The sequence below is a fragment of the Homo sapiens genome, chromosome 2 (assembly GCF_000001405.40).
Source record: "Homo sapiens chromosome 2, GRCh38.p14 Primary Assembly".
NCBI classification, from domain to species: Eukaryota; Metazoa; Chordata; class Mammalia; order Primates; family Hominidae; genus Homo; species Homo sapiens.
In genome coordinates, this window is record NC_000002.12 from 134921907 (window position 1) to 134949331 (window position 27425).

General features: G+C 36.9%; 1 protein-coding gene across 10 annotated transcripts in view; it reads left to right on the forward strand.

Annotated features, from left to right (window-relative positions):
• The window catches only part of CCNT2 (cyclin T2), a 40521-nt gene that overhangs the window by 3085 nt on the left and 10011 nt on the right, over window positions 1-27425 (forward strand). For 2 of the 10 annotated variants that reach the window (NR_037649.2, NM_001320749.2), the window contains exons 3-8: window positions 14935-15063; window positions 17096-17156; window positions 20706-20768; window positions 23983-24069; window positions 24195-24240; window positions 25830-25993. Coding sequence is in view for 8 of the 10 variants with exons in the window: in NM_001320749.2 (NP_001307678.1) it covers window positions 24227-24240; window positions 25830-25993 (178 nt within the window). In the remaining 2 variants the exon portion in view is untranslated. Of the gene's footprint in view, window positions 1-14934; window positions 15064-17095; window positions 17157-20705; window positions 24077-24194; window positions 24560-25829; window positions 25994-27425 lie in introns of those variants that run through there. The other 8 variants (NM_058241.3, NM_001241.4, XM_017005227.2 and 5 more) reach the window with 6 other exon arrangements.

The following is a 27425-nucleotide window of genomic DNA, read 5'->3' on the forward strand; positions in this document are numbered from 1 at the left end:
TGAAATCTGTTCATTTCTGTTTTGAGAAATATTATTATACCCTTCATATCTGTTGTCTTTTTTTACCTTTGCTATTATAATATCAAAAGTGGTTTTTATATTTGTGTCAGTGCACTTGCATCAATTGCACCGCCTCACTTTTATCTTTCTTCCCCCCTGTTCTTTTAGGGCAAAGGGGGTGGTCTGAAATTGAATGTGAGTCGCTTTTAAATTTGTATTATTCCACACCAGTGGGAAATTTTTTTCTATATACTGAAATGTCATGGTAAACTTTAAAAAGCGTGAATCTTCACCAGAGTAAACTGAACACCGTTCAGCAAATTAAACCCTATGAAATAACAAGCTTAAATAAGTTAAGATGCTAGTGACAAACTATATCTAGTCTTATAGTAAATATTAATAACATCCATTAACTGTGTGAAAATATTTTTAAATGTTCAGGTGACTTAATTGTATTTTCCCACATTGACATATTAAAAGTTTTAAAACCCCCAAAAGTAATGTGCTGCTGTATTAATATTTAAGAATAAAATCAGTATCAGCATGTTTTGGTGACCCAGAAATGGTCTCTTATCATTGAGTTCTTTTGTCAGTTACTCAGAGTTGAATAGCTGTCAGCAGTAAATGACTTTTATATGTAGCCTAATTAGATAAATCTACACTTTGTTCACTAGATGCAATGAGGTTCATGTAATTGGAATTAATAAAGAATGGCCTTGCTGGATCAAGCTCAAAAATAAATTTAGTAAAGTGTAAAAGCCCTGGAGCCAAAAGTGATGCCAAGGTATATACTGAGGGAAAGCACCCACCCCCCAAGTCACACTTAAGTAGATATTGACCCAGCTTCTCTTACAAACTCCTAATTTGGTCTTTTGTGATGCATTTTTTTTCTTATACCAGTTCCAGGTCTCTTAAGATTAGGTTGTAAAGAGCACACCCTTTTCTAAGTATTTTTGTTGGTCATGGTCTGTTCTCATAGCACATCTCCAATTTATTTGATCTTTTCCATCTTCTCTTACTTCCATTGCCTCTTTCTTGAGCTCTAGCAATCAGAACTCCATGTATAATATGCAAGATTTAAAGCTATTGTAGGGCCTGGCATGGTAGCTAATGCCTGTAATCCCGGCACTTTGGGATGCTGAAGTGGGCGGATCCCTTGAGGTCAGGAGTTCAAGACCAGCCTGGCCAATATGATGAAACCCCATCTCTACTAAAAATATAAAAATTAGCTGGGTGTGGTGGCACGTGCCTGTAATCCCAGCTACTGGGGAGGCTGAGGCAGGAGAATCACTTGAACCTGAGAGGTGGAGGTTGCAGTGAGCCGAGATCACATCACTGCACTCCAACCTGGGCAACAGAACGAGACTCTATCTCAAAAAACAATAATAATAATAATAAAAATAAATAAATTTTGCTTTTTCTCCTGTTCATTTCAATTCATTGTTATACTCTGGTCATGTTTTACAGAAGTCAAATCAGCATATGTTTCATTGTGAAGTCTAAGCAGGTGTTTATAGCTTACTTCTCTTTCTGCCTTTTAGTTTAATAAAGCAATAATTAATCCAACAATAATCTTATGCCCAAGATCCATTAGCATTACTTGGAAATACTGCAGTGCTGTCCAGTAGAACTTTCTGCATAGCGCAAGTTTTGTGTATCTGTGCTCTTCAATGTAGTAGGTACTAACCTGTAAATTTGAGACGATTAGCCTAGATGATTTTTAAATTCCTTTTAAACTATAAATTACCTGGTTGAAATTTTATTAAGATCTCACTATGCCAGGCACTTTATATTTGTCTTGTTTTCTCAGGTAAAGTATTCTCCTAAGGAAGCAGACGCAGTTACCAAGTGACTTGTCCGAAATTAAAACTATTACGTGGCTGGGATTTGAACCCAAGTCCTTTGCTTAATCCCAAACTGTAGTTCTCACTTTTTCCTGTTCTAGTATATTTCAGAAGTAGAGCACAGTAGCAATTTATGCCAGTGATTTGTAAGATTTATAAAGTAAACAATGAAAAAACCTCAGATTTTTATTTGCCCGCCTCATTGCACTAAATCCAATGAGGTCCTCTTTATAAGTCCCAAATTCCTCTTTTTCAACTATACATCAGTGTTAGCATTTATGCATTGTGTATCACTGTTTTTCCTTAGGGTGCTTTCTCTTTGCTTTCATGTGACTGTGCTCTGTCAGGTTTTAAGACTCAGCTGAAGTTGCTACTCTTTCATAAAGCATTCCCCAGATAACTCTCTTTTCCATTTGTGAATTTATCTCTCTGATCTTACCTTTGAATCTTATTCACATCCAGTTGTATTCCATCTATTTGGGAGTTTATAGTGCTGTAGTGTAACTGTACATATATGAGATGAGTGTTTTCTTTTTAATTGTAAAATATATAAAACCACCAAACAAATGTATAGTGGATTATTATAAAACAACCTTGTAATCACCAACCAAGTCAAGAAATAGAACTTTGCCAACTACCCCGGAATGTCTCCACGTGCTCAACTCAGTGTCGATCCCCTCCCTCCAAAAGTAACCAGTATTCTTTTTTATTTTTTTGAGATAGGAGTCTGGTCTTGTCGCCCAGGCTGGAGTGCAGTGGTGCAATCTCGGCTCGCTGCAACCTCCGCCTCCTGAGTTCAAGTGAATCTCCTGCCTTAGCCTCCTGGGTAGCTGGGATTACAGGCATGCACCACCATGCCCAGCTAATTTTTGTATTTTTAGTAGAGACGGGTTTTCACCATGTTGGTCTGGCTGGTCTCAAACTCCTGACCTCGTGATTCCCCCCACCTCGACCTCCCAAAGTGCTGGGATTACAGGCGTTAGCCACCTCGCCCGGCCCCAGTATTCTTACTCTAATCACTTTCTTTATAGTTTTAGCACCCAACTCTGCATTCCCAAATACCATAGACCTTGCTCATTATTAAAAATTTGGTAAGTCTTTGAAGTCTCTCAGTATGCATGTTTCCCCTCCATCTTTTTATGTCAACTAAGTTGTAGCTGTTGAAGGACCCTAGAGTGTGTGACCTGTAGAGTTTCCAACTGTCTGAATTTTGCTGATTGTATACTCATGGTGCAGTTTACTGTGTTCCTTTTTTCTTGCATTCCTGGAAAAATTGATGATTAGATCCAGAAACTTAATCAGACTCCTGTTAGATCCCTTAGGCAAGGCTATAGATGGTGTTAATGTTCTTTGGTCAGAAGGTCTAAAGTCTGGTTGTCTCTCTTTGTAGTGTTAGTGGCTGCTGATATTCAATGCCTGGGTCCTTTCATTCATTGGTGATACTCTAATTCTGTCATTTCTTTCTTACAAATTGGTATTTTTGTATTGGAATTCTTGATTCATCTCATATGGACACCCAGTGGCACGTATCATATAGGATAATTACTGGATTTTTGCCCTTTTTGTGATATAATTCACATATTGTACATTTCACCCATTGAAAGTATGATTCCGTGGGGTTTGTGGGTTTTTTTAAGAATATTCACAGAGGTGTGCATCAATTTTTAGAAGTCTTCACTACACCAAAAAGAAACCCCCAACCCCGCAGTCATTTCTCCCTATTTTTCCCCCAGCCTATTAATAGACATTTCATTAATGGAATCCTACAGTATGTTGTCCTTTGTGACTGACTTCTTTCACTTACCGTGTTTTCAAGGCTCATCTATGTTGTTGTATTTATTCAGTAGGTTGTTTACTTTTCTTGCTGTACTACCCATTATTCCACTGTATGGCTAGACCACATTATATATATATGTTCATCAGTTGGTGGGCATTTGGATTGTTAGCCACTTTTTGGCTAATATGAATAGTGCTCTTAAGAACATTTGTGTACAAGTTTTTGTGTAGACTTGTGTTTTTGGTTTCTCTTGGGCTTATACCCAGGAGTAGAATTGCTGGATCATATGGTAACTCTAGATTCCAATAATATTGGAAACTTGGATAGCTGCCTTTTTTTTTTTTTTTTTTTTTTTTGAGACTAGGTCTCCCTCTGACACCCGGGCTGGAGTGCAGTGGCACAATCATGGCTCACTGCAGCATCAACCTCCTGGGTTCAAGTGATTCCCCCACCTTAGCCTCCCAAGTAGCTGGAATTACAGGCACATGCCACCACACAGTTAATTTTTTTAATTTTTTGTAGAGACAGGGGTCTCACCATGTTGCCCAGGCCGTTCTTAAACCCCTGGACTCAAGCAGTCCTCCTGCCTCAGCCTCCCAACACTCAGCCTAAAGCAGCTCTTTCCAGTGTGATTTGTCACTTTAAGCACCACTCTTCTAGTCTTTTCTTACAGTCTTTGTGTGAACTGAATACTCTTCGGTTACTCATTTTTGTGAGATATTAGCTTTCCTGAACTTTAAAAAGGTGATGTACCTTCAGAGTGCTTTAATAATTTCACAGAGCTCCCTTTTCTGTTATTTTGTGTAATGTTCAGAAGTGTAGCAGCTTACTTTCTGGGAGTTTCTGGCCCTCTTCCCCTCCACATTTTTAGTTTCTCTTTTCCCTTCTTCCTATCTTGCTGATTGTGCTTTTCCTCCCAATGGTTTCTCTTCAAACTGGAGTCTTGGAAGAGAACCTTGGAAGATCAATTTCAAAAGTTCGTAGAAGTTAGCTTCGGTCTTTTAATCCTTACTGTAGGTCTCTTGCATCCATCTACTTATTGGACTGGCAAAACTCCCAGTGCTAGCTGCTCTTCTCACATTGGCCTGCCATGATTTCCAGTGAATGTCTTTTGGCTCTTTGAGGTTCTTCTTATATCAAGTCCAGCACATGCCCCATTCCTTTGCATCTTGTTGCACTGTGCTGTGTATGTTGACATAGTAGCCTGTTTTTTCCTCATTCGTATGTGTTAGGAATTCCCTAGGAATGGCTTGTCATGTGATTTGGTTGTAGCTATCCATGGGGTTTTGGTTTTGCTATCTTGTTGCTCTGTTTTTCTGTGGGGATTTAAGTATCCCCTCTGCAGCCATCAACTCAGAATTCTTCAGGTAAATCACTAAAAGTTTACCTTCATTCAGAAGATGATACACTCATTTCCAGTGGGACTTCATCTTTCCAGAAGTATTTATAAGTACATTTAAATGACAGCCTATTGTGGTCCCACTGGAAATGAGTGTAAGATGAAGTTGATTTTTTAAAAAGAATAAATCACTTGAAGTTTCTGTTAAATAAGGAAGCTGTGGGAGAGTTCATTTATTAATAGGCATTACAAAGAATATATGATATTTTTGATTGATTTTCTCAAATTAATTCTGAAAGCTACTCTAGAACTTCCCCAGAAAGCTTTAAATGTTATTTTGAAACATGCTGCTCTTATCTGCCTAATTACAGGGATACTGACTTCAGTGACTCTGTATTATTATAGAAGTCTTATGAAGTATTCCTGAAGCGGCTTAAAATTTTTTTTTGCAAAATTAAATGATTGTGAAATAACTCATACCTTTTCTCTGCACACACAGATACATGTATATTTTAGCCTTGGTAATTTATATGCTTCTCTGTGGTCCTGGCTCATCCTTTTTGTTGAGTCATCGCATGGCAGGAGTGCAAGAGAGTGAACCCAGTCCTGCAAGATCCAAGGCGCTTTCAAACCATAACAAATTCTAAACTTAGGTGTATAGAGTAGAATAGGTTAATATATTAACAAATGTGCATTGAGTGTTTGCATTGGCCAAGGCATGCAAATGTCTCAGTATAAAATCAGACAGATTTTATATAGTTTATAAACTGATTTTCAAGGCCATTGCAGAACAGGAGTTTTGTTTTTAGTATTAATAGCTAAAATTGGTTAAGGTAATTTTTTAAGTGAAAATCCAATTAGATAACTGCATTTTATTATAAACATACATATACATTCTAGGGAGTACATATTTACACATGTTCTAGGGATTAGGGGAAATGATGGAATCTCCTTACCACTCTACATTTTCTGGTGTTAACCTAATATTTTACCCCTAAATAAGCTAAGGCTCTGATTGTTAGTGACATATTACATACTCTTTATATGGCTATACATAAGGAAATACATGTAACGTGAATTTTTCTCTAAATTATTTGGAGCTGATACAGAAAAGAAATGGATGAGAACTGTAGAAGTTCACCTATTTGTTATTAAAAGTTAAAAGTGAAGTTAAGGCTTGTGCTTAGTGACAATATGCAGTTCAAGCAATTCTCCTGCCTCAGCCTCTCAAGTAGCTGGGATTATAGGCATGTGCCACCACACCTGGCTAATTTTAGTAGAGACGGGGTTTCACCATATTGGTGAGGCTAGTCTCGAACTCCTGACCTCAGGTAATCCACCTGCATTGGCCTCCCACAGTGCTGGGATTACAGCATGAGCCACCATGCCCGGCCTCACATTGTATTTCTTTTTTTTTTTTTTTTTTTCTGAGACGGAGTTTCATTCTTGTTGCCCAGGCTGGAGTGCAATGGCGCGATCTCGGCTCACCACCGCCTCTGCCTCCCAGGTTCAAGCAATTCTCTTGCCTCAGCCTCCCAAGTAGCTGGGATTACAGGCATGCACCAACACTCCCGGCTAATTTTGTATTTTTAGTAGAGCCAGGTTTTCTCCATGTTGGTCAGGCTGGTCTAGAACTCCCGACCTCAGGTGATCCGCCCGCCTCAGCCTCCCAAAGTACTGGGATTACAGGCATGAGCCACCGTGCCCAGCCTATATTTCTATTTGACAGTGACGGTGTGGGCTATAGTCATTTGTATCCACCAGCAAATAGAATTACTATTGGCCATTCACACTATAGTAATTCCTTCCAAAGGCAAATGTGCACTTTCACACTAATCTTAAACTGAGGGTTCATTTAGAAGTTGAAAAAAAAAAATGGGAAAGATGTTTCTTCTGTGGCCAAAAATCGGAAGATAATGAAACTTTATATAGTTCCATGCTTAAAAAGAAATACCTGAGAGGGCAGGAAGAGAAAATTCTGAGGGTTTGGGGGTAATCTTTAAATGATGCAAGGATTCAGAGAGGATACCAGGTATTTCCACACCCCCACCCCAAGGTAGATATTTCAGTTACTTTGTGTTGCTATAGCTCCATGATTGGGGTTTTGAATGCCTAGTGTGAGTAACTGTTTGAGTTGATATGGTTCACTTTATGTAGACTTAAATATCTGTTAAAATTATTTTTGTTACCCAAACAAATTAATAATTTTATGAAACAATTGCTTTTTAAAAAATAATATAATTGCATAATGTAAATGCCAAAAAGTTATTTGCTGTTTAAGAAATTGATATTCTCAAAACAAAACCTGATTCTACTTTTAAATTAACAAATGTGTGATAAAGTTACACATGGTTAAGATGCATATTGTTTATTAGTATTTGTTACGTTATGATTAGGCTTTCGGTTTCCTTGAAATTTCTTTTGTTAGTGCATGCACACTACATCTATGGAGATCTGGCCAGGCATGGTGGCTCACACCTGTAATCCCAGCACTTTGGGAGACAGAGGTGGGAGGATTGAAACCAGGACTTCAAGACCAGCCTGGGCAACTTGGCGAGACCCTGTCTCTACAAAAATTAATTTAAAAAAAAATTAGCCCGGCATCTTGGTGTGCGCCTGTAGTCCCAGCTACTTGGGAGGCTGAGGCAGGAAAATCGCTTGAGCCCAGGAGGTTGAGGCTGCAGTGAGCCACGTTCACGCCACTGCACTCCAGCCTAGGTGACAGAGCAAGACCCTGTCTCAAAAACAGAGAGAGAGAGAGAGAGAGAGAACTAATAAATAGATGCCTTTTTTTTTTTTTTGAGACGGAATCTTGCTGTGTTACCCAGGCTGGAGTGCAGTGGTGCAATCTCAGCTCGCTCCAGCCTCCACCTCCTGGGTTCAAGTGATTCTCCTGCCTCACCCTCCCTGAGTAGCTGGGATTACAGGCATGCACCACCATGCCTGGCTAATTTTTGTATTTTTAGTAATGGCAGGGTTTTACCATGTTGGCCAGCCTGGTCTCGAACTCCTGACTTCAAGTGATCCGCCTGGCTTGGCCTCCCAAAGTGCTGGGATTACAGGCATGAGCCACCCCGCCTGGCCTAAATAGATGTCTTTAACGTTAGCTCCTTAAAAAAAAAAGAGAGAGAGAGAGATACAATTCATATACCGTAAAATCCACCTATTTAGAATGCATAATTCAGTGGCTCACACGAAGTTGTACAACTATCACCACAATCTCAGTTTAGAATATTTTTATCACCCCAAAAAGAAACCTGGTTGCTGTAAGCAGCAGTTCACCAGTCCCACTCCCCTTCCCAACCCTGGGCAACCCCTAAATTATTTTCTGTCTCCATAGATTTGCCCATTCTGGACATTTCATATAAATGGAATCATGTATATATGGTCTTTCACGAAGCATGTTTTCAAGGTCCGTTCATGGTGTAGAATGTGTTAGTACTTCATTCCTTTTTACTGCAGAGTAATTAATATTCTATTCGTCATGTGGCTGTACCTCTTTTTATTTATCCATTTATCAGCTGATGGACATTTGGGTTGATTACACTTAACAGCCATTCCACTGGCTATTATGAATAATGCTGCTATGAACATTCATGTACAAGTTTTTATGTGAACATATGTTTTCATTTCTTACGGGTGAGAGTTACATGAGAGTGGAATTGCTGGATTGGTATGGTAACTTTAGACTCCAATAATCTTTTTGGATAGCTTTTAAGAAACATTTTGAGGAACTGCCGAACTGTTTTCCAAAGTAGCCATACCATTTTGTGTTCTCAAAATGTGTGAGGGTTGCAATATCATCACTTTTCTCGTCTTTTTTTTATCGTAGCCATCCTAACAGTGTGAAATGATATCCCCTATTCTATGCATTGTCATTTTTATGTTCTTGGTGGTATTTGCAGCACAAGCATCCAGTTTATTAATATTTTTCTTCTGTAACTTGTGTTCTTGATAGCATATCTAAGAAACCTTTACCTAAACTAGAGTCATAAAGATTTATTTGTCTTTTCTTCCAAGAGTTTTATAGATTTAGCTCTTACATTTAGGTCTGTGATTCCTTTAGAGTTAGTTTTTATGTATGATGTAAATAAGGATTTGAATTTTTTTTTTTTTTGAGACATCTCACTCTGTCCCTCAGGCTGGAGTGCAGTGGCGCCATCTGGGCTCACTGCGTGCTCCACCTCCCAAGTTCACGCCATTCTCCTGTCTCAGCCTCCCAAGTAGCTGGGACTACAGGTGCCTGCCGCCACGCCCGGCTGATTTTTTGTATTTTTAGTAGAGACGGGGTTTCACCGTGTTAGCCAGGATGGTCTCGATCTCCTGACCTCGTGATTTGCCTGCCTTGGCCTCCCAAAGTGCTAGGATTACAGGCATAAGCCACCATGCCCGGATCTTTTTTTTTTTTTTTTTTTTTTTTTGGTATTTGAATATACAGTTGTCCCAGCACCATTTGCTGAAAAGAGTTCTTTCTCCCACTGAATTTTCTTGGGATTGTTAGTGAAAATCAATGGATCATAAATGTAAGCATTTATTTCTGGACTCTGGATTCTATTCCATCCCCTTATGCAGACCACATAGTCTTGATTACTGTAGCTTTGTAATAACTTTTGAATTTAGGAAATATGAGTCTTCCAACTTTGTGCTTTTTCAAGATTGTTTTGGCTATTCTTAGTCCCTTGTATTTCCATGTGAATTTTAGGATCAAGCTCATCAGTTTCTACAAAAGAAGCTGGGATTTTTATAGGGATGACATTGAATCTGTAGATAAATTTGGGGAGTACTGCCATCTTCGTGATAATCTGTTCGAAGGAAAGTGGCCTTTTGTAACATTTATGTAGTATATTTGAATTCCTGTGCAATGTTAATGTTCTTGTTTCACAATACAAGTCATTTTTTGTCCTTTTGGTTTTTTAAGAGAAGGGATCTCACTCTGTTGCTCAGGCTAGCCTCAAACCCATGGACTCAAGCAGTCCTCCCACCTCAGCCTCCCAGGTAGCTGGGACTTAGAGTGGTATTTTTTAGTATTTATTGTAGGCTGTTAGGAGCTGTGTCTATATAAGAGAGAGTAGATAGAGCCTTAACTATGAAATACTAAGTATACTTTATAAGTTGGTTTTTTTCATTTTTTCTTTTTTGTTTTTTTTCAGACAGTCTCACTCTGTCACCCAGCCTGGAGTGCAGTGGTGCTCGCTGCAACCTCCGCCTCCCAGGTTCAAGCGATTCCCCTGCCTCAGCCTCCCAAGTGGTTAGGATTACAGGTGTGTGCCACCATACCTGGCTAATTTTTTTGTATTTTAGTAGAGACGGGGTTTCACCATGTGTTAATCTTGAACTCCTGACCTGTTGGTCTCAAACTCCTGACCTCAGGTGATCCGCCCGTCTTGGCATCCCGAAGTGCTGGGATTACAGGCATGAGCCACCACGCTCGGCTGATATTTTTTCTTTTTTAGAAACATTCATAATGCTCAGGTACTCCCCACTAAATAATTTTTTAAATGCCGGTTATGTTAACCATTTTCAGTATATTGTTTAAGTATAATGTAGTTACTCTATGGAAGTCAAGCCTTATTCTCTTAATCAGTACTGCTTTTCAGCAATATTGAATACTGATATTTTGGGGCCGTTATTAACCCAGCTTTCTTTTAAATGTAATTAGGTATCTTAACATCCAGCTTGAAGATTTTTTTTAATTTTTTAATATAAATTTGCTTTCATGTCAGTCTTTCACTCACATAATTATTTGAGTAAGAAAACTAAAATGCCACACTGGGTTAATAACATTTTCTGCAATTCCTTAGTGCTGGTGTTTCTAGTGCAGCAAAATTAAGGATTTAAACCACTTTTTAACAATGTGCTGGAATTTTGGTTTGATAGGCTCACACTTGGCAAATGCCAATTAACAAATGGGCATTTTGACTTATTCCACTTCCTTTGTCAGTTTGTTACCTCTCTTGTCTTTCCTCTACTTTCCTTTTCTTATTCTAAGACCTTCTTTCTATAAGCCTGTAGTAAGGTTATACAACTATCCCTTCTCCTGAACTATAGCCTTAGCAAGAAAGTTCCAATTTCTGAGCTGTAATAGTCTGACTAGAGCTTGCTGAATATTTATTAATGAAGTCCGTTTCAAGGCACTGAAAATAGTTATCCTAGTGTTAGTCAGGGATTGGATAGGGGGGTGTTTAGGGCAATGGGAGAAATGGCATCACTAGCCTATAGAACCTAAAGATGAAACACAAGAACAGGTTAGAATGAACCTGTTGGTAATAGTAAGTGAAAAGCAAACTTGGAATCCTTTTCTTTGCTTCTGTTGGGGTTTTCCTGGATTGGGAGATTTAATGTTGAAGAGTAATCAGATAGCTTTGGCTAGTTCTTAAATACAAATACACCCACAAAGTGTTTGCACAGGATTAATTATTAATATTAAGAGAATAAGGACTAGAATGATTCATTGAAACTGAATACAGCCATCTTGGGTGACTTAGAAATTACCCAGACTTTTTGTTAACTCAGCCTGACCTTGCCTCCGCTATCAAGGTTGAAGCCAGCAGCGGAGAGTGAAGAATATCAGCAGTAAGGGTATCAGGAGCAGAGAGGGGAGACAGCAGCCAGGAGTGGGCAGGAGGAGAAAAAATGGAGAAGGAAGGGAGTCAGATCAAGAAGTAGGAATGGAAACAAAAAGGAATAAAAAAGAGAAGGAGTGAAAGGAATATGGATGTAAATCACTGAAGTAATGTCAAATATCATAAATTCAGTGTTTGGATATGCTTGCTTAGACTGCAGCAGGACCCTCCAAGAATTAAGTTTACCTGTGAAAGGAAGAAGGTGAGCAAGAGAGAAGGGAATTTAAAAAATACACTTGTTAAATTGTTTTTTAAATTTAAAATCAACATTAACATGCACAATTTTAAAAATTTTTCAACATAATAATAATATTTGAGTCATATTACTAGGGAGCACTATTCTAAGTCCTGTGTATATTGGTTCATTTAATCCTCACACAACTTTACAAGCAGGTACTATTAATATTTCTCCCATTTTACAGATGCAGAAACTGAGCCACAAAGAGAATAAGTAAATTGTCTAGGCTAGTCAGATCACAGAGCCAAGATTCCACTTGAGGCAGCATGGCTATGGCTGGCTCTGTCATCTCTACCTCCCCGTCTCCATGATTTGTATGATATATTTCTATAGAGAAATTCCACAAATATCTATTTGTCTCATTTTGAGAATGTTACATTTCCTTGAAATAGTTATATATCTGCTAGAGTAACAAACTCATGACACTATTCAGAGTTCAAACAATTCTAAACACTATTCGCATCAACTTCCTTTTACTTTTTTCCCTTTAATTTGAGAACGTTTATTAAACTAGGTCCAAAATACAAAAATAAATAGTGCATGGTCCCTGTCCTCAGTGAACTGAATCTCAGTTTGTAATTGTTTGATTACTTGAACCAAACCAGCTGTACTCCTCCAATACTAGTGTGAATTATTTGGCTTGAACCAAGCTTGCATGTGCCAGTGAATGTTTGTTGGCTTCAAAAGTATGCTCACCTTTAAAAGCTTTGGACCAACTAGTAATATTTCTGTTACCCAAAACATTTGGAATTCTTTTAAGCCTCACAACAAAATCACCTTCCATACAAAAAGCAGTAGTACCTAGTTTGATCACCTTCCTTAATCATCCTTGAAATTAAAGCCTCACATGGATACTCACAAAATATTTATCTAAAAAGGTGTTTTGTTTTGTTTTTACAGCCTTGATGGAGGAAAATATTTGCAGGTTATAGAGAAGGAAATGTGAATGGAATTAGTGGATTTCACCAGGAACTTTGGAAGAGTGTTGGGAATTAGTGTTTAGCTGGAAAGTATTTCTTGATCAGTGTCTTTCAGGCAAGTAAGAGAAATTCTGGATCATCTGACAGGAAGGAAGTTTAAGTACTAAATTCGGTCTAATTTGACTTTTGACCTGAGCCTCTATTGCTTCACTCTGACAAATAGTTTTAGCATTTGAAGGCTTGATTAACCATTCCCCTGTTAGACATGAATAATGACAATAAATGAGAGATTGTGGGAAACTGAGAGTGTCTTCATTTTCTTGAATGTCTTATGTGGGCATCAGCTCTCAGATTTTTATAGTGGCATTTGGAATACTTTGAATTTAATATTAGTGCCACTATATATTATACATATTCATTCAACAAATTGAACAACAGCCACATAGTGCTAAATCCTAGGAACACAAATAAAGAACTCTGTTCTGTGTTCAAGCTACTTCCAGACTAAATTACTCTTTTGAGCATTCTCAATTTTTCTAATCCTTTCCTTGTTGTAATTTTAAAAGGAAGAAATAAGTTGAAAGTGCAAATTAAAATTATTCACTCATTTTAAGTTAACATTATTTCTAGTTCTTGGGAGCCAAACTCTATTTTACATCTGTTATAAAGATTTACCAGAAGGAAAACTTCTTAAAGTCATTTTTACTTCATTTACACATCTGCAAATGCAGTTGGACTAGAAAGGTCCTTTTCAGATCCTAATTCCAGTGATTAAGTTTCATATTACATTTTAAAAGATCTCATACTGAAAGGATCCACTGTCCCTCTGTCAGAAATTTTCTTCACCTCCAGTTTGGCATTGTTTCTGTACGGTAATTGTTGACGCCCCCTGCAAGACATAGTGAGGCTCAAATGTTCATCTCTTGAAAAATGGGTACTCAAATCTTGACATTTAGAAATTGTCTTCCCATGGGAAATTTCTTGAATGTAATCTTAAAACATTATTTGAGTTTATTTTATGCCTATTTTCTAAGTCCACAGTTACTTGATTTATTATTAACTTTTGGGGTACATATTCAAACTTCATGTTTCTCTGTCTTAGTATCTTTGTAGTGCTTGTGTTCTTATATTTCTGTCCCAAGGACCTAATTTACTAAGCTAAAAAAAAAAAATTGCTAATTTATGGATCTCTGATTGGCAAAGTTTCTACTATATTGGTTTATATTACATGCTTATACCCTGGTGGTGTAGCTGCTTTCATTATTGCTATAGTTAAGTAATAGAGATAATTAAGTAACAGTTTTATGTTCAGAATCCTCCTTACTTTGCCCTCTAGGTGGTTTTTCTGTTCCTTCAACAAGATAGTGAAGGTATCTTCACTATCTTGTGTGGTAGTTATAGCCACACAATGAATCATTGCTTGATTTTTTAAAAGAGTATTAGAAAATGGTGACTCTGTGCCTAGAAAAGGAGTATAGTGGGTATACTTGATCCGCTTTTCATCTTTTTTTTTTTTTTTCAGGTATAGCATCATCTTTTTGCTTATTTTCTTCTTTGCCTCCACAATGTGCAAATTAATATTATTTAAACTTTCTCTTTAGCATTTTTAGTATGTTCAGTCAACTTACTTAGTATGTCTTTTCCCTTTTCCCCTTTGTTCTATGTGCAAAACGAGTAAAACAGATTTATAGATTAGTTCTATTTAATGAATAACTTTATTAAAACTATTACATCAATCTTGTCATAGCCCAACTCACAGTTCATACTATTAATATTGCATTCCTTCCTTGCACACCCGCCCCCCCTTAAAAAATAGAAGGTTTGGGCTGGGTACAGGGGCTTATGCCTGTAATCCCAGCACTTTGGGAGGCCGAGGCAGATGGATCACCTGAGCTCAAGAGTTCGAGACCAGCCTGGCCAACATGGTGAAACCCTGTCTTTACTAAAAATACAAAAATTAGCCAGTGTGGTGGTGCATGCCTGTAATCCCACCTTCTCAGGGAGGCTGAGGCAGGAGAATCGCTTGAACCTGGGAGGTGGAGCTTTCAGTGAGCCGAGATCACACCACTGCACTCCAGCCTGGGCAACAGGAGCGAAACTCCACCTCAAAAAAAAAACAGAAAAGAAAAGAAAATAGAGGGTTTTTTGAAATGTATTTGTTCTTAAATGACCAGAGTTTTATCTTTTCTGCAGATAATATCGTCTACTGCATTATTTTTGGCTGCAAAAGTGGAAGAACAGGCTCGAAAACTTGAACATGTTATCAAAGTAGCACATGCTTGTCTTCATCCTCTAGAGCCACTGCTGGATACTAAATGTGATGTATGTAAATACTGGGTTTTTTATTTTTCTTTGTAAATTTGAAACTTTTTCATAATGTAGGCCTAACAAAAATACACAGTTCAATTAGTGGTGCCTTCCAAATGCTGCTTGTTTTATTACCTCTTAGGAATGCAATGCCAGGAAGCAGTCTGGCAGAAAAACATATAATGTATGTTCATGAATTTGGATGTCATTCTGAATTATAGAAGGCTTTGATTCCAGGTGCTTTGTTGATTCAAAGATACTTTTGTTTCATATTTTGTTGTTCAGAGTTATGATATATGTAGAGGGTAAGTCCTATCACCTCCGCTGGAAGCTGTATTTGAGACCAGAATATAAATAACTCCTTAAATTGTCAACAGATGAAGGAACAGAAAATCTTCTGAATTTACCCCTAGATGAGTAGTCTTTTTAAAGTATTGTTCCTTTTTTAATGCATGTACTACTGCTTATCTCTCTGATACATAAAGCTGCATTTTATTTTGCTTTCATGAGCAGCATTTTTTTAGTATTTTAATTTTCCTAGAGTAATGTTCCTTTCCAGACAACTTTATCATCAACATTGTAATAGACCTTATTTGAAAGAACTGTTTTAAATTTTTCTGACATCTTAAGAAATAAGGAGAAATAAGGAAGTTAGAATTATGGCCCTTTAAAAATTTTCGGCCAGGCACAGTGGCTCATGCCTGTAATCCCAGCACTTTGGGAGGCCGAGGCAGGCGGATCACCTGAGGTCGGGAGTTTGAGACCAGCCTGATCATATGGAGAAACCCCATCTCTACTAAAAATACAAAATTAGCCAGGCATGGTGGCACATGCCTGTGATCCCAGCTACTTGGGAGGCTGAGGCAGGAGAATCGCTTGAACCCAGGAGGCAGAGGTTGCGGTGAGCTGAGATCGTGCCATTGCACTCTAGCCTAGGCAACAAGAGTGAAACACCGTCTCAAAAAAAAAATTTTTTTTTCTAGCATCCTGAGTTACTTAATCAGGAACCTTTACCCATTGAATGACTAACAGATTATATTAATTCAAAGTCCCGATTAATTTAAGCTTCAATGGAACTATATCTGATTTTATTAATGGCAAGTTTTATCATAATGTTGGCTTTAAGGGAGTAAACTGTTAATGTAGCCATTAAATAATAGGTTGTCATTATTTAAAGATAATTCCTACAGTTTATATTAACTGTACAAATTCAGAACTATTTCTTGGGGTACTGTTTAAATAATAGAAATTGACTGTTTTAAAAATCAGCTCAATGACCTTTCAAAGTAGAGCATAAATAAAATAAAAGGTACTTTTACTCTCTGGCTTTAGAAATATGTCCTTACAAAAATGAATATAGGTATATTCATATCAGTAATATAGTATTTCCTTATCACTTTGGTCAATTGTCATGATTTCAGAATAGGACAGCAGTAATTTTTCATATCCTTTATTTCCAGAGTAACTGTAATAGAGGGATAATTTCTTGAAATTGAATAAGGAGGTTCTCTGGTATTTATGTCCCCGTGGGTATGAGATACATTATTTTGGTATGTTTGGTCATTTCTAAGGTGGCAGGGAAGTTAATTCTAAAATTTACTCAGTGACTTACTGTGACTTTTGAGGAATTACCACATGAAATGTCCTAGAGTGAGTTTGTAAGCCAGGTTTGGGTTAAAGGCAGGTTTGAGTTGGATGTTTTTAATTGACTTGGTGCTTCCTGTCTTTAATATCTCTTGAAGCACCAGTGCCTAGGTTGTTTCACTTTACAGACTGTGCACATCTCCTTATTTCAATTAACTTACCCTCTTTCATATTGGTTAGGTTTTTGTTTTCTGGTGTTTGTTTCCTGTTACAGAAAGTAATTCAGTTTAGGCTTGCCACAGAATACAGGCTTTCTCTGTCACCCTCAGTTTATTTTCTCCATATTTTCAAACTACTGTGGTTCTTTTGTAATCAACCTGTAATTCTCACAAGATGTAACAGTCATGCAGTCTAGTAATGTTATTTTTATTTTAATCAATTTGATAATATTTTTATCTGACAGGCTTACCTTCAACAGACTCAAGAACTGGTTATACTTGAAACCATAATGCTACAAACTCTAGGTACGTACTTACATCAGATAATGGCTTTTTGTGTGTATTTCACTAAAGCATTCTAAATAAGTGAAAAGATTTCTGAAATAATTGTATTATTGAAGAAAGTTATTTTAAAACAGGTTTTAGACAGAATAAGGTTGCCTGGTTATAAGGAAATTACTTTTCTAGAATTTAATTTCATTTGGCATAATTAAATTGAATGGTAAACGTACCCTTCAGTATGATTTCTTAGGTTTTCAGGTAGTTGAAGTACTGTGCTTCACTCTGGATTTGCACTGGAGAGTAAAATGGTCCTTTAGGGTTGTTTTATATGATTATGATGTATACAAACCTACACAGCAATCCTTATTCTCCTCGAGCTGCCAGTCAGTATTTTATGAGTATATCACCTTTTTTATTTTATTTATTTATTTATTTATTTATTTTTAAGACGGAGTCTCGCTCTGTCGCCCAGGCTGGAGTGCAGTGGTGCCATCTCGGCTCACTGCAACCTCTGCCTCCTGGGTTCAAGCAATTCTCCTGCCTCAGCCTCCCGAGTAGCTGGGACTACAGGTGCATACTGCCACACCTGGTTATTTTTTTGTAATTTAGTAGAGACGGGGTTTCACCGTGTTGCCCAGGCTGGACATGAACTCCTGAGCTCAGGGAATCTGCCCACTTTGGCCTCCCAAAGTGCTGGGATTACAGGTGTGCGTCACCACGCCCGGCCTATCATATGATTTTTAATGTGACATAGTAATTATTTAAATGTTGGTCATCCTTTTCTAAAGGTTATATCTTTGTATGCAAGTTCATTTACTGTCACCATTCACCTTACTCAATTTACTGAAATTGAGGCCTAAGAAAGTGATGGCTTATCTAAAGTCATATGTTAGTTCTGGAAGAACCTACTAGGATGTGGTAGGAAGAACATGGGCTTTGGGGAGATCCAAGTTAAAATCTGTAGGCCTCTGACTTGCTTTGTAAACTTGGGCAAAAGTTCCTTTACCTGTTGTACCTCCATTCTGTAGAGGTGGAATAGTATCTGAGTCATATCGTGAATTTGTCATTTTTTTAATTTCATTACTCCATTCCCAGATGTTGAATAGAAGTGCGATAAATCAGTCACAATTTCCCATTGTGACAGACTCTTCGTTACAAAACTAGTTTGTGTGAAATACATATGCAGTTGACCCTCAAACAGCACGGGTTTGAACTCCATGGGTCTACATGGATTTTTTTCAATAAATAATATTGGAAAATTGGGAATTTGCAACAATTTGAAAAAACTTGTAGGTGAGCTGTAGCCTAGAAATATTGAAAAAATTGGATATGTCATGAATGCATAAACTATATATAGATATTAGTCTATTTTATCATTTACTGCCATAAAATATACATAAATCTATTTTTAAAAGATAAAAATTTTAAAAAGTTAGGCACACAAACAGACAATATGTGGCTCTATTCGCAGTTAAGAGAAAATGTAAATAAACAAATGTAAAGGTACATAAAATTAATTTTAATAATACGTAACTGTACTGCTGTGATAATTTTGTAGCCACCTCCTGTTGCTATTGCAGTGAGCTCACATGTTATGAGTATCCACGTAAAATGCTGTGTGACACCTGTCATCTCTGAACAGTTTGTCTCTCCAGTAAATTACATATTGCGGTAAAAGAGGTTCTGGCATATTTTTACCGTATTTAGTGCGATACTGGAAACTTGGATTAATACCATGGGACCCATACAAAGTGCCTCTAGTGATGCCAGAAGTGCTCCCAAGAAGCAGATGAAAGTTGTGATGTTACAAAAAAAAGTTGAATTGTTTGATATGTACTGTAGATTGAGGTCTGTAGCTACAGTTGCCCATTTCAAGATAAATGAATCCAGTGTAAGGTTCAGTGTGAAAGAAGAAAAAGACATTTGTGAAGTCATCGCTGCAGCTATACCAGCAGGCACAAAAACCTTGCACTTTATCTCATATTGAAAATGAAGCTTTTATGTGAATGCAGGATTGCTGTAAGAAAGGCATACCTATGGACTCTAATATGATTGGAGAGAAGCTTAAAGCAAAGGGAAGGTGAAGGATCTAAAGCCAGAGAATTTAATGCCAGCGAAAGACAGAAATTGTGGTGTATTTCTGTAAAGTTACACCAGGTGTTGCCTGCCTCTCCTGCCTCCTCTTTTGTGTCTTCCAACCTGAGACAGTAAGACCAACCCCTCTTCCTCAGCCTACTCTGTATGGAGACCTTTATGATGATCCACTTCCACTTAATACTAGTAAATACATTTTCTCTTCCTTATGATTTTCTTAATAGTTTCTTTAGCTTACTGTGTTGTAAAAATACAGTATATGATACATATACAAAATATGTGTTGATTAACTGTTTATGTTACCAGTAAGGCTTCAGCGGTAAGCAGGTTCTGATCAACGATAGTTAAGTCTTAGGGGAGTACTTGGATTTTCGACTGCATGGGGATCGGCACCCCTAGGCCCTGCGTTGTTCAGAGGTCAGCTGTAAATTATTTGAAGTTTCTATAAAATAAAAAGATACCAAAAAAGTGAGGGTCTTATTTCTTCCAAATCCAATGATTTAGCATGTTATTGTTTTACTATACAAAATTATATAAATTTCATTTAAGTAAAAAATTGAAAATGAAAAATCATAAATCATTATAAAATATTTAGTTGTTATATAAAATCGTAATGTAATATCCATATTGTTTATGACATATTCTTAAGCACAGAGAATGAAAAGTGTTATTTTAAGGGGAACATTAGAATTTAGAAGATATGCCTCTATGGCTTTAAAGTATTCTGCATATTTAATTACAGTAGAACTATATATAGACCACACAACAACTTTATAAATCTAGATTACCCATTTGTTAGGATTTTATTTACTTACTGCTTCTGAAGACAACCAAATGTGATCTTCACTTTTAATAAAAACAGAAACCCTGCCACACCTAAGGGTTGATTGCACGTTGATAGCTTTTAAACATTTCATCTTTGGTATTAGAAACAGTAGTTTAAGCAGTCATGAGACCTCTATGGTTTGTCATATGATTTTGATTATTAATGAAGTATGGTTATAAGGTAACTGGTTGAAACCCTTTGATCTAGAGTGCCGTATCATTTAAAAGCTCGTTTCTACCACTGTGGCCCAACAGTTATGTTTATGAAAACTGCACTTTTCATGTCTTCTGAAAGAAAGCTTTGGAATATTAAGAAAGATATTACGTAGTTGAATTCCGTCCTTAAATTGTGGGACCAGCTTAACAGTTGTATTTGCCAGGAATTTAATTTGTTTTTAAGATAATCCCGAATCATTTATAATTCAGAATTTTGAATAAATTTACCCTTGGTCTTTTAACTTTATTTTCATAATTGAGACATTGTATTTGAAAAATTATATCTTGTCATTGGAAAAGTAATGAGAATGTCAGTGATGAGAAACTTATAACTTTGGATTTTTCTTAATAATGAAGAATATATTATACGTTTATGGCATTTCTCAGGCAAGTACTGTAGTGGTAAGAGATTGGAAAAAAAAGTGCTTATCATTTCAGGTTTTGAGATCACCATTGAACACCCACACACAGATGTGGTGAAATGTACCCAGTTAGTAAGAGGTAGGTGATCCTTGAAACTTTTAAGATAAGTATTAATGCTTTTTATTATCTGTAATTGATTTGGGTGCTATTTTGTTTTTCTAGCCTTTTGTTAGGTTTCATTAAAATTAGGGAGAAATGTCATTTTTTAAGCATTACTTTTTAGTGTTCTACATCTACTTCTATTTGTGATTCTACCTGGTATGTTAGCTTCCTTTAAACATAGGTAAGAATCTCATTTCACTAAAACTCCGGAGGGCTTCCAAGTATTAGGACTCTATCCATCCCCCATTGAGCTTTGCTAGTCCCATTTCAGTCAAGTGTGGGCCAATAGTGCATAGGTTCAGAAAATAATATTAATTTTGGGTTTGTGTCAAACTTTGACTTTTTGAAAAGTGATAACAGTTGAAGAATTTTGAGGCCAACCTCAGACCTTTCAGATAAAAATTGCCTTTGTTAAAAGATTTGTCAGTACGGTGGCTCCCACCTGTAATCCCAGCATTTTGGGAGGCCAAGGCAGGCTGATCGCTTGAGCTCAGGAGTTCGAGACCAGCCTGGGCAACATGGTGAAACCCCATCTCTACAAAAAACACAAAAATTAGCTGGTTGTGGTGGTACACGCATGTAGTCTCAACTATTCAGGAGGCCAAGGTGGGAGGATGGCTTGAGCCCAGTAGTTGGAGGTTGCAGTGAGCCCAGATCATGCCCCTGCACTCTACCTTGGGCAGCAAGAGTGAGACCCTATCTCAAAAAAAAAAGTTATTTTTGTGGGGGGAGTGTTTTGCCCATATTCATTTGGGCAATCTAAAATTGATTTAATGTATTTTTCGAGGGTCTTTGACATTACTAAAAGTGGTTTCCTTTTTGTAACGGAGAAATAATTATAGAGCATAATACATTTAGTTTGTGATGTGCCTGTTAAGCGTCTTGTTTATAAACAGGAGTACTTTTTAAAAATATTGCTTTACTGCTTGTAAAGTATCTGGTAGTATCTGATACAGCATTTTCTACTCCTAAATGAATCCTATATATCTGTTGTATCCCTAGAAATATTTTTTACACAGTTGCATGTTGTTCTGCTTCTTACTTCCACTTTCCTGTTTCCATTTCAAGTGTTAATGTATTCATAGCAACCACTTGGGACTTGTAATGTGCCATTTTCTGTTACTTCCTTTTTGAAAATAGAATTTTGCAGTTTCATTCATTTACTACCAAGTTTTTTTAGATTTATCCTAAACAAAATGAGTACGACTTTTGAAAATCTTTTGTTTTTAGTATTTACCTAAGTATTCTCACATTTTATTCATTCTAAATTGAATTCATTTTATACCTAGTGATTTATTATGTTAGTGGCTACAATTTTTTAAAAACTGTCTGATAGTGTCATTAGGAAGTAGACATCTGAAAATCTAATTTGTATTTTTTTGTAGTAGCACACGTTATCATTTGTAAGCTAGAACATATTTAACTGTGGTTCCTGTTCTTCATGGTTATATCAGCGTGTTTTATAGCACATTTTCATCTGAATATTACAGTATAGCATAGAATTATATGCATAACTAGTTGTAGTTGTTGAATTAAGGAAAAAGGGTTAGTTTTTTCTAAGAACTTGAAAAAGGTTAAGCTAAACTTTGTAAGCATTGTAGCCATATAATTTGCTTTAAATTAAGAGCCTATTGAAGAAACATTAGTTGAAGGAAGTACTAGTATATGTTTAAAAATATTACTTGTGAATATTAACTTAGGAAATTGGATTTTCAGGTTACTGTTGTGAAATTTGAGTCAACTTTAAATTCTTTATCAGAGATTAATATTTTTTGTACAAGTTCTCCTACAACTAAAAATTCTAGAGACATGAAGTCAGTTTACTTGAAAAATGAAATAGTAACTTTTAAAACATTTACAAAAACTACAAATTTGATATGTCATCCAAAACAAATATTTAGACCAGATTATTTGTTGTTGTTAATGTTAAAATGTGACTGATTCTTTGAGTACAAACCATATATATGTTTAATGTCATTTTGTCTGACTAACATTTCAGGTAACTAGAATATATCTCACTCCATTTTAAAAGTACTGTTTCATGTTTTAGTGTCTTTTTGTTTTCTTTGCTCTTTTACAACTTTTAGCTAACAGCATTTCCCCTCTATTCTCTGTTGCACAGTGACTGTTTCTGGATCACTGAATTTAGATACATGCCTAGGTGAAAACTGCTAATGGCATTTTTTAATTATTATTTTTTCCTTCTCTACGTATTTTTATTCGGAGGGGGAGGGGAAAATAAATTTGATTTCTGTGAAGTCTTTTTCTCCCCTCTGGAGATGAGAAAGTTGGTATTATGCTACTTTGCTGCAGAATTGGCTAATGTCATTTTACAGGGACCTTCACTTCTGTGATTTCTCCTTCCCTCCCCACCAGGAAAGTCACACTGCCTCCAAGACATCTGATGCTTTGACACTCTTCCTTAGCACAACTCTGCTAAACCCCAATCCCTTTTGTAAAACCTTTATGTTGATGATCCACATGGGGCAGCAGGGATTACAGGTGCCATGAATAAAAAATAGGGGAGGGGGAAAGAAATTTGAGGACGGTTAGAGGGGTGGAGTTGAGATAAACTGATCCTAGGTGAGCAGAGGGGAAAGATATGTCAGTGCTTGTGGATGTAATTGGGAAAAAGGGAAACTATAACAAGAGCATCCCTGTTGGGAAGACTAAGAGGCAGAATAAGGGGAGGGAAAACTTTTCAGTGTCTTAAGCTAATTAAAAATTGCCTTTCTGTTGGGTATCAGTGTTGAAGCATTCTGATCCTCCCTAGAATACCTGTATCTTTCCTAAGTTAGTCTTTAATTAGATTCTGTAATTTGAACTAAAATACAGTGGAGCCTCCTGTATCTGTACCCGTATGCTGTTTCTAGGTTTATTCTCTGTTGATGCTTAATAGCATGATGAAAAACTGAGCAGTTTGTGCTCTGTGTTTTGTGGGGTGGGGGTTTGTTTTGTTTTGTTTTTGATGGAAGTATTTAAGCCAACTTAAATATGACTGAGGATTAAGTCTGGCAGGCAACTCTTTGTATTTTGTATTAGACTTCAAAATCTTTTCTTCTTCTTCTTCTTTTTTTTTTAAATCCAGGAGAATGCTTTATTGCAACTTTTAGCTGACTAGATGCTTAACTTAGTAACAAGTTTAGCCCTTGTAACTGGCTAGCTAAAAGCAAATCGGCTTGTTTCTCAGATCTTTGGGGGATAGCAAGAAACATTTGAGTGAATGTTGTTGAAGATTTTCAGTAGTATAGAAAATGATGGCGCTCTTGTGATATTTGTAAGTAGTAAGTAAAATTTACTTTTTGTGTACAAATCTTTGAAGTTTTTGTTGTGTTGAGAACTTTTTGATTGTAGCACGTTAAGGCTGATAGTATTGTCTTCGTTTTTTTTTTTTTCTTACAGCAAGCAAGGATTTGGCACAGACATCCTATTTCATGGCTACCAACAGGTTGTTATCCTGACCCTCTTTGTTGCACTGTTGTAGCACACTATAGCTTCCTTTAATGCAGGGCCCCCTCAATGTGTCTCTTACCCTTGTTGCGACAGGAGACTGGACCATCTACTGTGGTGGTACCTTCCTGTTTGCTTTGCGGTGTATTGTACAAGGGACTTTGGGCACAGAGGGGTTAAATGCACAATGTGAAGTGTAGTGGTGCTTTCTGATGACATATTCTCGATTTGTGAGTGCATAAGTCTAAAATTGGTAGCCTGAATAGCAGCTAAAGATTACAAAGAGCTAAACTTAACGTAGAAATTCGAGCAACTTGGTAAGTATAAAGCTATTTCCAGTTTACAATTATAGTTAAATGACAATTTTTAAAATTTCACGTTGATCCAGTCTTAACTTTAAAATACTCATTAAAGTTTTTTTAATAAATAAAATTTATGTAATTTGAAATTTTTTTTCAGATAATACCCACTAGTAGCAAGTTAAAAGTAGTCAAGTCCTATCCATGCCTGGATTTGCATAAACACAATTTTTCCTTTTTTTTTTTTTTTAAACAAAAAAACCTTCCTTTTCAGTTTATATAGAGTAAAAAATGGTATGTGTTTATGGCTGAACAGATAACATTTCCATCATTGAAACTGAACTGGAAGAATAGTCTTAAGGAGCCTTTAATATATAATTCTGTTCTAGATTTATTAATGATTTAAATTTGTCTTTTTGAGTGGATCATTGGGGAGAAGGGACCAAACCAGCTTTGTATGGTCCCTAATTTCTTGTGACACTGATAAGTTTTATTTACAATTTCACATTGGCAAATACTGCTATATTTTCTCAAATATCTGTTGTTGGTATTTAACCTCTATCCCCAGTAATTCTGAACAGCAACATAAAAAGACTTAAATTTGGAACTTTGATTAGAAAAGGCTAGCTGTGACACATATTTCATGCCCCATATTTGGCATATAGTGGAAGGAGAAAGGTAGTATTTTTGCAGTATTTAATAACATTGAGCCTTGAAGCTGTTTGGCAAAAGGTAAGTTTCCTTTGTGGCTTTGCTGAAAAACAAGGCATAGATTTACATAGATACGTGTTTAATTCTCTGCTTCACTAAAGAAAGCAAATGCCTATTAAGCCACTTCAGTTGGGATAATCCCTGATTATTGTGAGATTGAAATTACTTTGTCAATTTTACAAATAGTTTTTATCTTTCCATTTACATATTTACCATGACATTACAAAAGAAAAATACCACAAAAAATTTACAGTGTTATCTATATAGTGATTATTGCAAATATACTATCCTCCTCTCCTTTTATAAAATACTTCAATTTTAGATGTAAAAACAAAATTTTAAATATTAATATATTAGTAATATACTCGGGAGTGAGTGAGGGGAAATGTTCATTTTATGTAGATTTTTTAGTACTAGAATTTTATAACTTAGCTTTTAATTTAATAAAATAAGGTTTTATACTCTAGACTTAAAGATAGAGTTTAAATTTTGCTCTAATCTTACTGGTAAATGTTTTTCTTTGTTTTACATACTTGAATTTTTATGGCTCTCCATTTTCAAACCTGCTCTGCAACAGTCTGCATCTTACAACCTTCTGTCTTCAGTACAAACCAACAGTGATAGCATGTGTATGCATTCATTTGGCTTGCAAATGGTCCAATTGGGAGATCCCTGTATCAACTGATGGAAAGCATTGGTGGGAATATGTGGATCCTACAGTTACTCTAGAATTATTAGATGGTAAGTAGAGAAAATAAATTTTTAAGTTTGGAATTATCTAAGTTGGCAGTTGTCTGAATTGACAATAGAAAGTGTCAGTACACTATCAGATGAACAGAATGAAAACAACAATTCATCAGCCTAAAGAAAAAAAAATAGAGTCTGGAAGCTGTGCTCATACCTGTAATCCCAGCACTGTAGGAGGCTGAGGCAGGAGGATCACTTGAGCCCAGGAGTTCAAGACCAGGCTGGGCAACATAGACCCTGTCTCTACAAAAAAAAAGTTAAAAATTGACTGGGTGTGGTGGTGCGTGCCTATAGTCTCAGCTACTTGGGAGGCTGAGGCGGGATGATCACTTGAGCACGGGAAGTCAGGGCTGCGGTAAGCCTTGAAGGCACTGCTCTACTCCAGCCTGGGTATATATTAACTACCACCAAATATCTAAAGCTTTTTCAGGACTTAAAAAATAAATAAGTAAGGTTTAGAATTCCATAAGCTGACAAGATAAGAATAGTGATTTAAAGTATACTAATTCTGTTGAGTTTTAAATGTGTATACTGAAAGTTGAGTGTTAACTGTGAAGCAGTAAACGAAAGGGATTTTCAGGGGATTGTGTTTCTTGCTCTGTATTACCATTGTTGCCTTACATTGTTAAATATGAATACACAAGGAGAAATTGTGGGTGTGTGTTCTGTTAATTAGGAACGTGGAATTTTGGGGATGTTTTGATGAGAAATTCCTCTGGTTGAGAAGTAAAAGAAGCCGGCCAGAAATGGGAGATTCTTGGGATTAGGGCATTTTAACCACGTACTGTAGATTTCAGCAAGAAAATAGATAACACTTTTTTTTTTTTTTGAGTCAGTCTCACTCTGTCGCCAAGGCTGGAGTGCAGTGGTGCAATCTTGGCTCACCGCAACCTCCACCTCCCGAGTTCAAGCAATTCTCCTGCCTCAGCCTCCCAAGTCGCTGGGACTGCAGGCACGAGCCACCACACCCAACTAGTTTTTGTGTTTTTAGTAGAGATGGGGTTTCACCATGTTGGCCAGGCTGGTCTCAAACTCCTCACCTCAGATGATCTGCCCACCTTGTCCTCCCAAAGTGCTGGGATTACAGGCTTGAGCCACTGTGCCTGGCCTTGTTTTGTGTTGTTTTGTTTTTTGAGACAGATACTCACTCTGCCCCCCAAGCTGGAGCGCAGTGGTGCAACCTGGGCTCACTGCAACCTCTGCCTCCCAGGTTCAAGCGATTCTCCTGCCTCAGCCTCCTGAGGAGCTGGGACCATAGGCGCATGCCACCACGCCCAGCTAAGTTTTGTATTTTTAGTAGAGATGGGGTTTTGCAGTCCACCTGTCTTAGCCTCCCAAAGGGCTGGGATTACAGGTTTGAGCCTCTGTGCCCCACCTGATGTTTCTTTAAGATAGGGGTCTGCAAAGAGTAACACTATTTTAGAGT